General features: G+C 35.4%; 1 long non-coding RNA gene across 1 annotated transcript; it reads right to left on the bottom strand.

The window, feature by feature from the left end:
• Nucleotides 1-720: 720 nt before the first annotated feature.
• Nucleotides 721-13055, bottom strand: LINC00349 (long intergenic non-protein coding RNA 349). Its single transcript, NR_046987.1, has 4 exons — nt 12961-13055; nt 12229-12275; nt 11006-11107; nt 721-1645 (listed from the first exon to the last, which is right to left on the bottom strand). It is a non-coding gene; the product is annotated as a long intergenic non-protein coding RNA 349 (long non-coding RNA).
• Between the last annotated feature and the right edge of the window lie 5027 nt (nt 13056-18082).

The following is an 18082-nucleotide window of genomic DNA, read 5'->3' as shown; positions in this document are numbered from 1 at the left end:
GGAATGGATAAAGAAAACATGGCAAATATACATGATGGAACACTACACAGCCATAAAAAGAACAAAATCATGTCCTTTGCAGCAACACAGATGTAGCTGGAGGCCATTATCCTAAGCAGATTAATGCAGTAACAGAAAACTAAATACAGTCTTTTCTCAATTATAAATTGGAGCTAAATATTAGGCACTCATAAACATAAAGATGGCAACAATAGACACTGGGTACAGCTAGCAGGTGGAGTGAAGGAGGAGTAGAGGCAAGGGTTGAAAAACCTGCTTTTGTGTACTATGTTTAGTACCTTGGTAAATGGGATCACTTATACCCCAAACCTTAGCATCAGACAATATATCCAAGTAACAAAGCAGCACATATGCCCCATGAATCTAAAATAAATATTGAAAAAAATTCTGATATTCCTTATAAATACAAAGCAAAGAAAAAAAATCCTCAATCAATTACTAGCAAACTAAACCCAATAACTTTAAATAGGATTACACAACATGACCAAGTAGGATTTATCCCAGATACACAAATATGCTTCAACAACGGAAAATCAATTAATAAAATATGTATATTAATAAAATAAAGGATCAAAAAGGATTATCATGACAATAGTTGTAGGAAAATCTTTGGAGAAAATCCAACACTCATTCATATTAAAAAACCTATGACACTTAACAAAAAATATGACACTTAAAACACAAGCAACACGAGAAAAATATTGTTAAATTGGACTTCATTAAAATTAAAGGCTTTTGATCTACAAAATACACCACTTATAAAGGGGAAAACCAATGTATAGCAGGAACCAAAATATTTTCATATTGTATGTCTGATAAGGACTTATGCATAATATATAAAGAACTGTTGCAACTAAAAATCAAAAGACAAATAACTCAATTAAAAAATGAGCAAGTAATTTGAAAGACTTTACGCCAAGGAAGATATACAAATGGCCAATAGGCACATGAAAATATGCTGACTGTTATTAGCCATTAGGGAAATGCAAATCACAATCATAATGAGATGAAACTTCACAAATACCAGAATAACTATAATAAAAAAGACAGATAATAACAAGTGTTGCTGAGGATGTAAAAGAATTAGAACTCTCATACATTGCTTCTCAGAATGTAAAACAGTTTCTTTGAAAAACAGTTTAGAAATTCTGCATAAAATGAAACATAGAGCTGCCATATGACCCAGAAATTCTACTTGTAGGAATATACCCAAGAGAACTGACCATGTCTGTTCTATTTGTTCACACAAATACTTATACATTAATGTTCATAGTAGCATTATTCATAATAGACCAAAAGTGAAAATAATTTAAGCATCCATTAACTGATGAGTGTGTAAATAAAATGTATTTTTAAATCTAGAATTAAAACCTTGAATGTCAATACTCAAAAATTTCTATTTTAAAAAATATATGGTTATCCATTTCATTATATTTTCTGCAGTTTTATTCCATCCATATGTGGAAAAGATAAATTGTATGAGAAAAGAGGACAGAGTTCATAAAGAAAGACTAGTGTTCCACAAAACCCTTAAATTCACTAGAAGAGAAGGTCCTTGACTCAGCGACCATGAAGAAGAGTCCAATCAAGCCACTTGAAATTCTTAAACTTTTCTTCTTGCCACCTGTTTTGGATAAAATGCAAATGAAAATTGCTTATCTAGGTTCTCTGTAGTCATTCAACATAGGCTCACCAAGTTAAAAGTTTTAATTCTAGATTTTAGACTCTGAGAAATGCAAATCAAAACCACAATGAGATACTAACACCAGTCAGAATGGCTATTATCAAAAATAAAAAAATGAAAGACGCTGGCAAAGTTGTAGAGAAAAAGGGATGCTTATACACAGTTGATGGGAGTGTAAATTAGTTCATCCATTGTGGAAGACAGGGTGGTAATTCTTCAAAGACCTAAAGAATGGAATACCACTCAACCCAGTAATCCCATTACCTGTACTAGTCTGTTCTTATGCTGTTAATAAAGATGTATCTGAGACTGGGTAAATTATAAAGAAAAGAGGTTTAATGGACTCACAGTTCCACATGGCTGGGGAGGCCTCACAATCATGGCAGAAAGAGAATGAGGATCAAAGTCACATCTTACATGGAGGCAGGCAAGAGAGAACTTGTTAACTTGTGCAGGGCAACTCCCATTTATAAAACCATCGGATCTCATGAGATCTATTCACTATCAGGAGAACAGCATGGGAAAGACCTGCCCCCATGGTTCAATTATCTCCCACTGGGTCCCTCTCATGACACATGGGAATTACGGGAGCTATAATTCAAGATGAGGTTTGGGTGGGGTAACAGCCAAACCTTATCAATACCCAAAGGAATATAAATTACTCTATTATAAAGACACATGCATTCATATCTTCATTGCAGTACTATTCACAAAGCAAAGACATGGAATCAATCTAAATGCCCATCAGTGATAGACTGGATAAAGAAAATATGGTACATATTCATCATGGAATACTATGCAGCCGTAAAAAGAATGAGATCATGTCCTTTTTAGGGACATTATGGAGCTGGAGGCCATTATCCTTAGCCAACTAATGCAGAGACAGAAAACCAAATACCACATGTTCTCACTTATAAGTGGGAGCTAAATGATGAGCACATATGGACACAGAGGGTAACAACATCCATGGGGCTTTTCACAGGCTAGAGGGTAGAGGGAGAGGATCAGGAAAAATAACTAATGGGTATTAGGCTTAATACCAGGGTGATGAAATAATCTGTACAATAAACCCCCAAGACACAAATTTACCAATGTATCAAACCTGCACTTGTACTCGTGAACTTAAAATAAAAGTTAAAAGTCTAAGAGTTCATTAAACATGGTAAAGAGCAAAGAAGATTATAAGTAGATTAACAGTGGATAGAGAGATAATGATCAAAACTAATTTTAATAAGTAATTGAACCATTGGTTGTTTCTTCTCAACTTCCTTTCTGTGATATAGACTTTATGAGGGCAAGCCCCATGACATTTATAAAATTATCTCAATAACCCTCTTACCTTGGAGGTGGGCACTCTAATAAATAAATAGATGAAAGGCAAAGAAAAATGAAAAAACAATGTGTTTGAAGAAGTGACTGTGTTTCTCTGTGTGTGTGTGCATGTGTGTGTGCAGAATCTGTAGGATGTTATGAGCTTATTGATTAGCTTATTGATTATTAGAATGGGAAAGAAAATTTAGGGTCAGATTAAAATGGGCCTTGAATTATAATTATCACATTGGATATGTTTATCATTTGTAGAAAATTTGAAGTCATTACAGGTGATTTAGCCATGATGTTTTTATTCTCTTCTTCTTTAAACTTACAATGTAATATAAAAAGTAAGGGGCCTCTCACTCAAATCACAGTGAAATTTTTAAATCTTCCTTGCCTAAAAATTAGTTGATATCAGACTTTTAAAACTTGCTTGTCATTTAACCCTTCTTCATCTTCTATTCTCCTTAAACAGTTAACCATGTCTTTAGACACGAGTCTATACCTTGAATTAAAACAAAAGGAAAATGATCAATTTTCACCAGATCCAGAATTTTCTATTCTGAAAGTGGTAAAATGAACAGGAACTCCTTTTCCATTCCATTTAGTTACAATGTAAGCTAATTTGAATTATATGGATTTTAGTTAACTCCATATGTTATATGAATAAATTCTCGATTTGTGTGTAAAACTCGAAATCATCTTTCAAATATTGCCATCTGGAGGCATTGTAAACTTTGTTTATGCCATTGCCTTGTGCAGGTATTATTTGAGTTTGTAAACACCGTTATTAATTATTTTTCATCTGGATTGATTTTGATTTGCATGAGGTTTTACTAATGTGTTCCCATACAAAACACACAATTACTCTTCACATCATATAGTTCTGGGCACCACGTCAAATATGTGAGAAAAATTTCCCCAAATGTATTCTATATATGGGTTCAACTACTACCACATGTTGTTTCAGCATTATATTGAATTAGTAAATTCTCTGTGAAATGTCATCTATTTCTACACATATGCCCCTCGGGACATCTGTCCTATTTGTCAATACCACAATCTGGGCATCTGTCAAAATTACAGGCTATACCGACGTTTAGGCCCCTACTTGATTGGCTCTATCACAGGGTATGTAAAATAAACAAAGTTTAAAACATCATCAAAATGGGACCATATGTCTAAACCTATCTTATGACCCTTAGCAGAAGGAATGAGTGTTACTACGAATAGTCCCATCTTTCCGGGAACCTGAACTAGACACAGTAAAGAAGTCTCTTGCTAAATAAATGGGTCCTTCTGGCTCTACAATAGGTCAATGTAGATATTAGTCTGCTACCGTATGTGTTCTTTTTATTTTCTGGCAGCTGACAAATAAAATTACCTCAAACTCTAAGATGAGAAAACTAAAGTTTGAAAATCCAAATTTCTTATGCCATCTTTGAAGGAATTGCAAATGTCTTAAGCCATCTGTGAATGAATGACATTCAGAAACAGCAAAATATTGACATCCTTACCTTCAAGTGTCCCTGTTATCTTCAAGCAACCCTGTTCCAACAGCGAAATTTTAGCCCTGTGAAACAATCCCCAGGGACTGTGAAAATATGAATTGATTTTAAAGGATGGCTGGTTAGCTGACAGGGTCTCTGCTTTCCAAAGCATTGCCAATTCAGTGTTGAACTGCTCATAGGGGTTATTTTAAACTAACCCAACTGACGGTATAACAGTCTTAGGGTTTCTGAACCAACTTGCTTATATGAGCAAGGAATGAAATTATAAGACAGACACGGAGGAATTCTGAAAATTCCTTGTGGACAAAGAGGAGTTGGGCAGAGAAAAGCTTGTGCACTCACTCTTTCAGACTGTGTGAAAAGAAATGAAGTCCTTTTTTACTTTTATTTTATTTTCAAGTCATTATTTTTCAATTGTACTCCTTTGGTTGCTAGTGAAGTAAATATTGTTCCCAAGTGACTTTAATTTCCCCAAATTACAGGAACTATAAATAAACATTCACAAATTTTGCATTTATATTATCAAGTAAGATATTTTTATACAATCATCTTTAAATTGGGTTTGTTTATTTGAATACATTTCATGAACATCTTAGTTCAGCTTAGCATTTTAATGCTACTGAAATGTTTTATCAGAAATAATGGGCCTAATTATGAACTCATAATAGGTCACCAATTTCTGGATTTTCTCCCAAATCACCATCAAGTCTGTGAAAAGAGCCGTTGAATCATTTGTTTTTAAACATAAATCAAGCAAACCTTTCTTGGAACTGAAAACTATATTTTCCCATTAATGTGATCATTTCAGGAATTTTGCTAAATAGGGGGTCAATATAAACCAACAAAAATTACCCATACTCACCATCAAGAGGTGGTCATGGTAACTTATTTTTGTATTTCCTTCAATTCTTTTCTAAGCTTTTTTTTTCAACTTTTATTTTAGAATTGGGGGTATGCATGCAGGTTAGCTGCAAAGGTATATTGAGTGATGTTGAGGTTTAGAGTATGAATCAATCTTTCACCGAGGTAGTGGGCATAAGATCCAAAAAATAGTTTTTTGGCCCTTGCCTCTCACCCTCTTTCCATCCTCTAGTAGTCCCAGTGACTATCCTTTCCACCATTATGACCATGAATACACAATAGTTAGCTCCTGCTTATAAGTGAGAACATGCAGTATTTGGTTCTGTTTCCATGTTATCTTGCTTAGGATAATGGCCTCCATATGCATCCATTTTGCTGCAAATAACCTAATTTGGTTCTTTTTTATGGCTGTGTAGAATTCCAGTGGTATACATGAGCCACTTTTTCCTTATCTACCAGAAGATATTTTTAATAACTACTTTAGTGGAGAATGAAATAACCTTTGGTCAGAAAGGATGGACTCTCAGCAAAATTTTAGAAAGAGATACAGAAGGAGATTTGGAGCATGTGAAAATGCATAAAATAAGAACACCATTGTCATAATCTAAATTGCAGGTTAATCAGATTGCCAGCAGATCCAATTTATTTTGATTTACAAGAAGTAACATAAGTTTTCCATCAGATTATTGGCAAAAATGTATTTATTGCCAACCTTGGCCACATTTTGTCTTTGAGTTTTCTTGATAAAGTTCAGGTGTTGAAAATGGAGTAGGGGTAAGAGGAACAATCTCAAAATCAGAAAGCAAAATGAATTTCTCTTTCTTTTTAAATCTGCCCTTGGGACAGGCCTGAGTTTTTAGGCATAGTAGGTTCAACAGTGGATCTCCAAAGATATGTTCAACTGGAATCTCAGAAAGTAACTTTATTTGGCATAAGAATCTTTGTAGATGTAATTAAGGTTAGCATCTCAATCTGAGGTCATGCTGGATTGAGATAAGCATGAAATCCACCAATGAGTGTCCTTATAAGAGACAGAAAAGGAGAATACAAAGAAATATAGGGAATAATGACATATGAAGACAAAAGTAGAGACTGGAGTTATGCTGCCATCAGCCAAGCAATGCCTGGGGCCACCAAAAGCTGGAAGAGGCAAGGAAGAATTAAAATTTTTCCCTAGGGCTTTTGGAAGGAACATGGTCCTCTGACACTTTGATTCCAAATTTCTGGTTTCTACAACTGTGAGAGAATAAATATCTGTTGTTTTAAGTCACCAGCTTGGATGTAAATTATTATGGCAGCCTTACAAAACTAGAAGACTAGATACGTGCTCTTATTGTTAAACCTAACCAACCAACCAACCAACAGACAAACAGCATCCAACATGATCTAATGTTTTCTTCATATCCCTCATGATGAAAGGAAGGTACATAGAAAGAACTGGAATTGTCCTGAGTTAATCCACTCACTGACACTCTAGCCCAAACTTGAGGGGAGCCATCCAAATCATAGTGAGTAGGTCACAGGAGGATGTCATGTGTCACAGGAGGATACTAATCCCACCATTCACAATGTCTTTGCCCAGGGAATGGGGTCTGTTATGAAGCATTATACCACCTGGGCCTACACTAGGCAGGGATTGGCCTGAAAGCACATCCTTCATATAGCTTCTGCTGCCTGTAGCATGTATGATGCACTCAAAATCTTAAGAGTCCATGGCTTTGCATACAGATATAAGGTTTTTTATATAAAGGATGGATAATGAGGATGTTATTAAAGCCACAGTGTCCCAGGCTGGGACACAATTTGAGAACCCAGCACTGCACATCTGAGCCTAAACACAAAAATTGGCCATCCTCTGTCAAGCCAGTCAACAAGATGTTACAGGCTGCAGTTGTTATGTGGGACTTAAAGACAGAAAATTTTCAGTGGCAAGGCTTAAATAGGAAAATGTTTGGGAGGCCGAGGTGGGCAGATCACAAGGTCAGGAGATTGAGACCATCCTGGCCAACAAGGTGAAACCCCATCTCTACTTAAAAAAAAAAATACAAAAAATTAGCCAGGTGTGGTGGCGGGCACCTGTAGTCCCAGCTACTCGGGAGGCTGAGGCAGGAGAATGGCGTGAACCTGGGAGGTGGAGCTTGCAGTGAGCCGAGGTCGCACCACTGCACTCCAGCCTGGGCGACAGAGCCAGACTCTGTCTCAAAAAAAAAAGAAAGAAAGAAAAAGAAAAAATAGGAAAATGTTCGTTGAAATCTTGCTGAAGTCTTAGAATGCAATCTGACTAAAATCATAAATAAATACATAAACAAGCAAACAAACAAATTATCCCTGCCCCTGAAAAGCAGTCAATCAGAAGTTCTTTGTGCTGCACTCCTACTAAAAGGAGATAATAGCTAATTGGTATTTACCCTCATGGTAAAAATTCTCTTAGTGCCTTCAGAAAATATTACCATTTACCTAAGAGAGAGTTCAACAAGTGCTCTAGGATGCAAGTGGAGGCAACACAGGCTGAAGAACTATTGTGTCCTGCCTCAGCATCTGCTCTCCTACTTCTGTGAAAGAGGATGCAGCTGTCCTGATGCTCTGGCTATTTCTACAGAGGAGACACAACTAACTGATGGTCTTATCCTTCTTTCATGTATAATATGCATAAGAGGAGATTTTACATATTTTGTGTATTAAAGGGCTTTGACCATGCATTTCATTTCCAAGGTGACAGTAGTTACCTTGTGAAATGATAATGAAACCACAACAAAAGTCAGCAGTGAGGATTAGCAAAGAAAAAACTGGGACCAGGAGTGGAGGTGCTGATTGATGTAATGTAGTCACCATGTACATGTTGCTATGGAAATTATGCAAAAATGAAAGAAAAAAGAAACTAAGTAGTTGTATTGAGAAGATAGAAATGACATGGCATGTCTCTGGTAACATTATTGAAGAGATTTCTTCCATTTCCTGAGACAAGCATCTAGAATAGTTAAAAATGGGAAATTAAGGGGTTCAGTCAGAAGATTAAGTTAGCATTACAAATCTCTCACATAATAAGAATCAGCATCTCTCCCCAGTCTCCTGATGAAACTTTTTGGCACTGTGTTTACATCTCAAGTACAGAAAGCTCACTTGCAATCCTCATGACTAAGCTAATTTCACTGACTTGGTTAAAAAGATATTTTCCATTTTTTTTAACAGCACAGTCTTTGCTAAAGAATGGCTACCAGGGTTTAATCTCTTATCCTAATTCGAATCACACAGTCCATAATTTCCTGGTATCCAAACAAATTCAGTGGGCAGGCATGAACAAAATTTGGCCATAAACACTAGTAATCACCATTTTGTTTCAAGCTTTAATAAGAGATTGTGGCTACAATGCTACTTGCCAATGGAGAGAAGTCCTCATATCAACCTCGGCAGTGGATATGATTTATTTAAAAAAGAAAGAAACCAGGAGTCATCTGGGTAAAATTAACTGCCTGTGGTATGAACTTTGATCAGCCTACCAGAACCACAATCTAGCACCAAAATCCTTGGGTAAATCAAAAACATTAGAATAAAAAATAAAGAAAATACAGGCAAAGAGAGAGAAAGCAAAACTATTCTAAAACTCATGTCAGAGTTAATAGTCTTTAGCAGTGAAAAAAACCTTTTTTTCATTGAGGGTTAATTAGTTGCTTCACTTTCCCTTGTCTAGAAAAGATTGCTGTAGTAATTATTATTAACACTCTTAATAATAATGGTAACCAGTAATAATAATTGAGCCTTTTTACATCCCAGGGTTAGTATTATAATTGGTGCCTTATGTATTAACTCTTCTGATCCTCACCAGAGGAAGCTCACAAAGGTAACTAACTGGCTAAGCCTCTCATTGGCAGTAGGTGATACAGCCTGAAGAACCCAGATGGTTCAGCTCCTGAATCCTTCTTCTTACCATTATGTTCTGCCACGTCTCACATAACCAGTGGGAATCCACACAGCAGATGACCCTTAACTTTGTTCTGTAAAAATTCCATAGTAGGTAAAATAAGCTATCACCCAAGGGGTTTCTCTACTCTCCAATACAGAAAATGGACATTAGCCTAGTGATACCAAAATGCTACTGTTCTTTGTGGGAAATCCTAGCCAGTTGAAACCATTAAAGGGGACAAATGTCACTGAGCATCTACTGGATGCCAGACATTATTTCATGCATTTCAATGTGATTTATCTCACTTAGTCAAAAAAATATATATATGGTAAATTTGAAGAATGGTTAAAGAAGTGGGTGAACAGCCTTGGCATTTTCTCAACACTATAATTTTTTTGGTTGTTTACTTTGTTTTTTCTTGTAATTAAGTAATAATAAAAAGTTCAATAACAACAGCTCACTTTTTTGAAGAATGGTTAAAGAAGTGGGTGAGCAGCCTTGGCATTTTCTCAACACTATAATTTTTTTGGTTGTTTACTTTGTTTTTTTCTTGTAATTAAGTAATAATAAAAAGTTCAATAACTACAGCTCATTTTTTTTTTTTTTTTGAGACAGAGTCTCGCTCTGTCCCCCAGGCTGGAGTGCACTGGCGAGATCTCAGCTCACTGCAAGCTCCACCTTCCGGGTTCACAGCATTCTCCTGCCTCAGCCTCCCGAGTAGCTGGGACTACAGGCGTCCGCCACCATGCCTGGGTAATTTTTTGTATTTTTTTTAGTAGAGACGGGGTTTCATCATGTTAGCCAGGATGGTCTCAATCTCCTGACCTCGTGATCCGCCCGCCTCAGCCTCCCAAAGTGCTGGGATTATAGGTGTGAGCCACCATGCCCAGCCAACAACAGCTCACTTTCAAAATGTATGTTACTCTTTAGAATGTATTCAATCACTAGTTTTTGCTATGTGCGAGTTGTTCTTATAGTGGCCAGAGTCCCTCTTCAAATAGGTGATAAAATATCTTAAAGTATGTGAATATTCATATGTCTCAAGTTCAGTTAACAAATATAATTAGATTAAGCCTTGATATTTCTAATAGACTTCTCTAATAAATGTATTTTCTTAATTTCTACTATTATTAATGCTTTTTATTTAAAATTGAGGATGTGATACATAAGAAACAAATATAACTAGATAGAGCCTTCATATTTCTAAGAGTTTTCTCTAACATATAAATTTCCTTAATTTCTACCACTATTAATGCTTATTTAAAATTAAGCATGTGATAACTATTTGTTGCCACCTCATACAAAATAAAATAATGTAATATTAATTATGCTTATTGTGCATGTGCTTTGTGTCGACTTACTGTGTAAGTTGTCTAGTAGCTCAGTTAGCCCCCACTTGCCAAACTATGTAGTCATACCAATTTTTTTTTCAGATGGATAAAGGGAGGCAAGAGGGTTTTGTAACCACAGAGTTAGTCATCAGAGGTGAACAGGACCAAGATTTGAACCTGACAGTTTTTCTTCAGAGTTGGAAATCTTAATCTCCATACATACTTGAGGTTTTGGGATCCTCACCAAATTTTCAATTATCTAACTTAAATACGGACAATGTGAAGGTCACAAAATTACTTTCAGTTATCTCTAAGATAAATCTCAGAGAGATAAGCAAATTTTTCAGCAGATGAAATATAATCAAAACAAGAGATTACGTACCTTCTGGTCCTGTTGCCAAGAGATCACTGGTTTCCCCCAAGGCTTGATCTATTCATGAGCGCAGACGTTGGAATACTTCGAATTTCTCCTCATCTAGGTAAGCTTCGGGATGCATTATGGCAACCAGAATAATTTTATTCAAGAATAGGAAAGGCCAGCTAGTTTAGCACACTTAGACATGAAATTTACTATTATCATATTTACTTCAATCTTATTTCTTTTCTATTTTAATTTACAGATAGAAATTATGCAGTAGTTTTATAGGCTGACCTGTGTAAACTCCTTGTCATAATTTTTTAATACAGTCCTGAGGATTCTATACAATAATGTAATTGAGTTGCCTGCCACTCAATAAGTAATTGGCCTTCAGGTTTCTCTTAATGATGGTAAATAAGACGTTACGATTTCCTTTGTTTTCTGTAAGATATTTAATAATGAAAGTCTCAATCTACCACAATGTTTAACTTTGGGGAACAAGATCTGAAAAGAATATACTCTTAAAAACTTAAATGTTGAATTATTCCTTCACATGTAATGTCCTGACACTTATTTTTCTACCAGCATACAGGGAGTAAATATTCAAAATGATTGCATAAGTGTATACAAACTAGAGGCTAGGAACTGGTAAGCCTTGTCCAGATGACAAGACACTCTTTGCTAAAATTAACATTCTCTTTCACCTCAGAGGTTTCATCATTGCTATTGTTGTCGATATTGCTGTTAATTAAAACTGTATTCTGTAAATTACCAGTGAGAGTGAGTGGTTTTAATATTACTTTAGTGTCCACATAGAAATTCTTCAGTGATGAGAAGATAAGACCCCAAAAGATTGCTCACTGTACAGGGACTCTTGGCTAGCTAAAAAAAAAAAAAAAAAAAAAAAAAAAAAAAAAAAAGCTAAATATTTCCATTGCTGAGATGTAAACGAAGAATTCCCAAACATTTGAGGTATCTGTTTAATGTCTAAAATAAGAAGTTGAAACCTTTCACTAACAACTTGTGCTGTGAAACACGTAAGTTTAAATGAGTAATTCAACAGTTACTGTTTGGATTTACATAGAAAGACTTTTGCCTAAGCCTGTGCTGAACACATATCAAAACAATTATGCCTAGCACGTACACAGTGATAAGAATGTTTTCTTTTGGCATCCACTAGAGGAGAAACTTAGAGCAGCACCACTTTCTACTGCTACCCTTGGGTCCATGCTGCGGTAGTTATTTACCTGAATTGTCCTCGGAGTAACTGCATTTCCTTGTATAAGAAATGGACCTAAAGTAATGGATTTGCCCATTAGTGAATAATATTAGAAACAGTTTCAATTGTAATGCAGTTCCTGTTCAGTTCCATGCAATTTCTGCATAGAAACACAACTGAAAGGAAAATGACAACCAATCAACCAGTAAAACTGCAATAAATACTTTTCAGGTGAGAAAACGTCAAAAGAGTGTGGATTTGGAAGTCTTTCCATTGTGCTAATTATAGATCTTTTTTATCTCTCTGAACACTTGTCAATAGTCATTAGGTTTATACAATTTTCTCTTTTTAATGCATCAAAAAATCACCAAATAGGAAGAAGTAAATCTGTATAACAGGACATCTAACAATTGGTTTTAAAATACATAACCTACAGCCTAAAATAAAGAAGAAATATATACATGTGAAGCGTTTTTTTGACTGACTATATTATAAATTATGCTAAAATTGTACTGCAAATGAACTCTCCTCACCTCCCAAATAATAACAAAACATACAGTGAAACTAAATTGTACAAGTTATATTAAGGCTCTCAAATTTAAACTAAGCATAAAAACTGAGCAATTTATCTTGGGATTCTAAAAAAAAAAAGAATCTAACAAAATTCAAATTGATGATACCCGACATGTTGTCATAATATAACAGTCAAAGTTTACTCTCTGAAGAAATATCAAGTTTTAAAAATAAATAGGAACAATACCAAGCATCATCTAAAGTCCAGTTTCTAGTTTTCTCAGCACCATGGGTAACTTTTGTAAGAAATGAGATAATCCTGTAGTCCCAGCTACTCGGGGGGCTGAGGCAGGAGAATGGTGTGAACCCAGGAGGCGGAGCTTGCAGTGAGCGGAGATCGCGCCACTGCATTCCGGCCTGGGTGAAAGAGCGAGACTCTGTCTCAAAAAAAAAGAAATGAGATAATTAGATTTACTGTAAATGAAATTTTGATGAAGTGCTATTGAAGTATAATATTCTATGAAATCCCTTGTTACCTTGAAAGGAGCTAAATGACAACTGCTTGATTATCATGGGACAAAGGATAACTTTAGGTTTTTTTCTTCTAAATTGTGGATAGTGACTATTTCGGTATTTTCTGTAATGGTATTTTCTGTAAGTGATATTACCCAGCTTTTAGGTCCACATCTTAGCCAAATCACTTCCTGAAACCTGACTTTACAACAAAAACCTTCTTTGTTCTTCCTTAGCCTGTGCATAGTGGCAGCATTTAAAATTAATACCATGCAATTACCTTCTGTTCTATGATAATCTTTCATATTTTCTCTTGTTTTCTCAAACTCTTCATAACTCTTAGGTCAAATTTCATGCACTATATAGTTCCCTTCCTTTTGTATCACCTTTATGTAGCTAAGATTATAGTAAGTTCTTAACAAGAATTTATAGATTTATCGGTCAAATTATTAACCTTTCAACAAGAAGACCAAAGCCAATGTAATATTTTTAAAAGTAGGGATTAAGAAAATTACCTTTGGTATTATCCTTAAAGAGAGTTTTAGTCCTTATTTTCCAATACATACACTCAACTATACCTCCCATTTTGTAAGAAAACCAGCTGCATTTGGGAACATTTCTTAAATTGTTGAAGTCTTAACATTGATACATTTAACTATTTACTTACAATCTTTTTGAATATTATAGAGGATATTCACTAAAGATAACTAAAGAGATTGTACTCCACATGTCAGATGAATGGCTTTAAAGCCTTAGTCACTAGAATTCGCCAGGATTTTTGCTTAAAGTGCAAACTTCTCAGTTAGTTCCAAGTCCAGAGATTCTGATTTAACAGGCATAGAACAGGACCTGGGAATCTGCATTTTAAATAAACTCAAGGTCCATCTTAAATGCACTCAGAAATAAGTGATTTTACTACTTGAGAAATGTAACTTGAGGAGTTTAAAATCTGTGAAATCTGTGATAAAAATTAATTATGTGGCTGGGCATGATGGCTCATGCCCGTAATTCCAACACTTTGGGAGGCCAAGGCAGGCAGATCATAAGGTCAGGAGTTCAAGACCAGCATGGCCAATACGGTAAAACCCCGTCTTTACTAAAAATACAAAAAAATGTAACCAGATGTGGTGGCTGGTGCCAGCTACTTGGGAGGCTGAGGCAGGAGAATTGCTTGAACTGGGGAGGTGGAGGTTGCAGTGAGCCTAGATTGCACCACTGCACTGCAGCCTGGGTGACAGAGTGAGACTCCAGTTAAAAAAAAAATTTAATATGTGCTTTGGCACTTTAAAGAGAAGTAAATAAATGAGTCGTGTTTGGCTTCTATTCTGTCCGTCTCTGCTCATTTTCTTTCTTTCTTTATTCACCTTGGCTGGTCCGTGTATTTACATGTAACTTTCATGAAAACTCCATCCATCTTCATCAATACACATAATACATACTTTGCAAGGCCCTTTTTAGAAGCCCTATTCAAATATTTCTGAGCTGGATGAATCAGTCTGTGTTAGTCTGTTTTCATGCAAATAAAGACATACTTGACTGGGTCATTTATAAAGAACAAGTGATTTAGTGGACTCACAGTTTCACATGGCTGGGGAGGCCTCACAATCATGGCAGAAAGCAAAGGAGGAGCAAAGGCATGTCTTAGATGGCAGCAGGCAAAAGAGCTTGTGCAGGAGAACTCCCATTATGAAACCAACAGAGACTTATTCATTAACATGAGAACAGTATGGGGGAGACCGCCCCCATGATTCAATTATCTCCACCTGGCCCTGCCCTTGACATATTGGGATTATTACAATTCAAGGTGAGCTTTGGGTGGGGACACAGCCAGACCATATCACAGTCTCATAATCTCTTTTGTAGTGATAAAAATCACAAATTTGAACCATTCATGATATTTTCTTCTACTATAATTTATGAAAGATTTATGGAAGATTTACTTATTTCATTTTGTATCTCCTCCACCTTCACTATTGCAATGGATTAAATGGTTGTTTTTCTCCCCCCCACCCAAATTCATATGTCAAAATCCTAACCCACAATGTATGGTACTAGGAGGTGGGGTCTTTGGGAGCTAATTACATCATGAGACTGGAGCCCATGTGAATGAGATTAGCACCCTTATAAAAAAGACCCCAGAGAACTCTCTTGCTCTTTTTCTATTGTGTGAGGATGTAAAGAAAAGACGGCAGTCTGCAAGTCAGAAGAGGGTCCTCACAAGAATTCATCCATGCTGGCACTCTAATCTCATATTTCTGAACTCAAGGTCTGTGTGAAATAAATTTCTGTTGTTTATAAACCCATCCAGCTTACAAAGTGCCTAGTGTATGGTACTTTGCTCTGGCAGCCCAAACTAAAACAACTATATTTTTAAGAAAAAAAAATATGCATGCACATACATCTATAAAAGTCTTCCACCTGATAACTCTGAAATAACTTTTACTTTAATGGTATTCATATAAGAAAGAAATGTATGAAGCCAAAATAAATCTCAAAATTAAGGGGAAATATTACTTAGCAAAATGCATGTTTGCTTTGCCAAAGCCTGAAACTTTTTTCTTTTTAAGCAAATTGAAAATCTCAAAGATTTCAACATTTTTTATTACTTATCCCAGCAAAATCATTCAGACCGCTTATTTTTAAAATTAAATAGTCACTGATTTATTTCACTTTTATGCAGTTAAGATAGGAAGTGGAGGTCAATTGGAAAATAGAATTACAGGAATAGGACCATCATGAAATGATTTTTTAATTTATTACCATTCAGAGCATCTATACTTGTTTGTCACACATTCAGAAGAATGGAAGAAAGGAGGGTAGAGAATGAGTCATATGCATTGAAAATTATTATTCAGTTTTAAAATGAGTGCCCAAAACTATAGACACTGTAAGACCCTGAATTTGAATATTTTACATTTCATTCTTCTATTAAAATTCATTTCATTGAGAACAAAAAGAAAACAAGAAAAAATAAGAAGATAAGCATCTTCAGAGAAACAACTATAGCCCGAAACCAAAAACTGAGAAGCAAACCTTCCAAATACTGTTATATTTCAACAAAAACAAGGAGTGATCAGAGTGAGTGCTTTCACATGTATAATCAGTACATGTTCAGGATGGTCATTTTTTCCAGATATCATTGCCGCTACTCTGGGAGATGTAACTCAAAAACTATTTTTCTTAAAATTGTTAGATTTTATGGAATAATGTGACCATGATATTAATAAAAGTAGGAAAGTCACTATAGAGTAACTCAGTGTTGTCTAACCATAAAATGGAAAGAATTTGAAGTTGTAAGAGAATTCAGGCTGATGTACTCTGTTCATTTCATATACTCTGAGTTCCAAACAGAATGAAGCTCACAGAAGTGGAAAGGAGCAAAAGAGAAAAGAATTAACCAGCATGTGATAATATAGAGATTAGAAATGCAGATTTAGAAACCTAGGAATCTAAATCTGAGCCACATTACCTTTAGAAAAGTGAATGCTGATAGGAGGAGAAACAATTATCCAGTACTTAGGGAGTAAGAAAATTAGTGTGAAGGTATTCCATTACAAAAACATGGATTTAAAAAAAGATACAAACTGCAATGCCACCCCACTCCTGCCCCAGAGGATCCCTTAGCTAATACTGGATATGTTCTACGAGGAATGCAGAGAGAAAAAAATCAGTAAAATATATATGCCTGGTGTTCTATTTTCTAAATATGAAAATGAACAAAAAGCATAAACAAGATGCAGTTACTAAAACTACATCACAAGTAGAATTACCAAAGTAATCAGAGAACAAATTGAAGTTAACTTAATCTCAATTTAGAAATTGAAGTGAACAACTAAGGAATTATGTAAGAAATACATAGGCACTATACATCAGCAATTACATCCAGAAAAATAGTGAATATCTAGAAGAAACCATACAAAAGTAAATTATATGAAAAGACAAAGGCATAATAAAAATCCTTAATATGGTGTTGGTAAATATAGATGCATGACAATGGAGACTCAACCTCTGCCTACTTGATGTTTTGAAGAATAAGAAAGAACATTAACATTGGAAACATTACTTGTTGAAAACTTCAAAGAGATAAAATGACACTTGAATCTATAGATTAAAATAGCATTCTGTTTTTTAGACAAAAATATAGAGATACTGATCATCACTAAGACTGACTTTGATTCACTTACTAGATTTGAAGAATAAAGCAATAGGATAATTGTCATCTGGGCAGTTAAACAAGTCTCTGAGAATTCAACTGTTGCTGATGAAGAATTAATGATTACCAGAATTATGCAACTTTTGTAAACGTTTAGAAATCCAGAACAAGTATATAAACTGTTTTCATTGCATGAAAAAAATAGGCAGCACAAAACTGTGATTTCTGAGAGAAAGAAAACAATATATACCCTTTATAGTACCAGCATACTTACTGAAAGTGATTTCCAGCCTCCAGCATGGTATGAGACAATCCGAGAGAGAATATCATGATTTGCTGAATTTAAGAGCAAGATATCAAAGTTTATGGAGGCCAAGGTGACTAGAATCATTAAGGCAGACTGACAGAGAGAAGAGGGCTGCACAGAGAGAGAACTGTGGAGATTTACGTAGAGGTTCTCTGGAGTCCTTGAGTGAGAACCGAACTGTGCCTACATAAAGTAAAACTCCATGAGATAGAAAAATGAGTCTTCATTAGCAATGGGCCAGAGAAATTCCTGGAGGTCATATGGGCCTTAGAAGAACCAGTATGTGCTCCAGCCAGAGTGAGAAACTTATAACATCAGATAGAGTTCTCAGAATAATCACACCTTAGTAGGGGGGTGAATCAGCTCTAGAGTCAAGGCTCTGAAGCCATTATAATC

Source organism: Homo sapiens, chromosome 13 (assembly GCF_000001405.40).
Source record: "Homo sapiens chromosome 13, GRCh38.p14 Primary Assembly".
Taxonomy (NCBI): Eukaryota; Metazoa; Chordata; class Mammalia; order Primates; family Hominidae; genus Homo; species Homo sapiens.
Note: the sequence above shows the minus strand (reverse complement) of the source record. Positions and strands in the feature narration are given on the sequence as shown.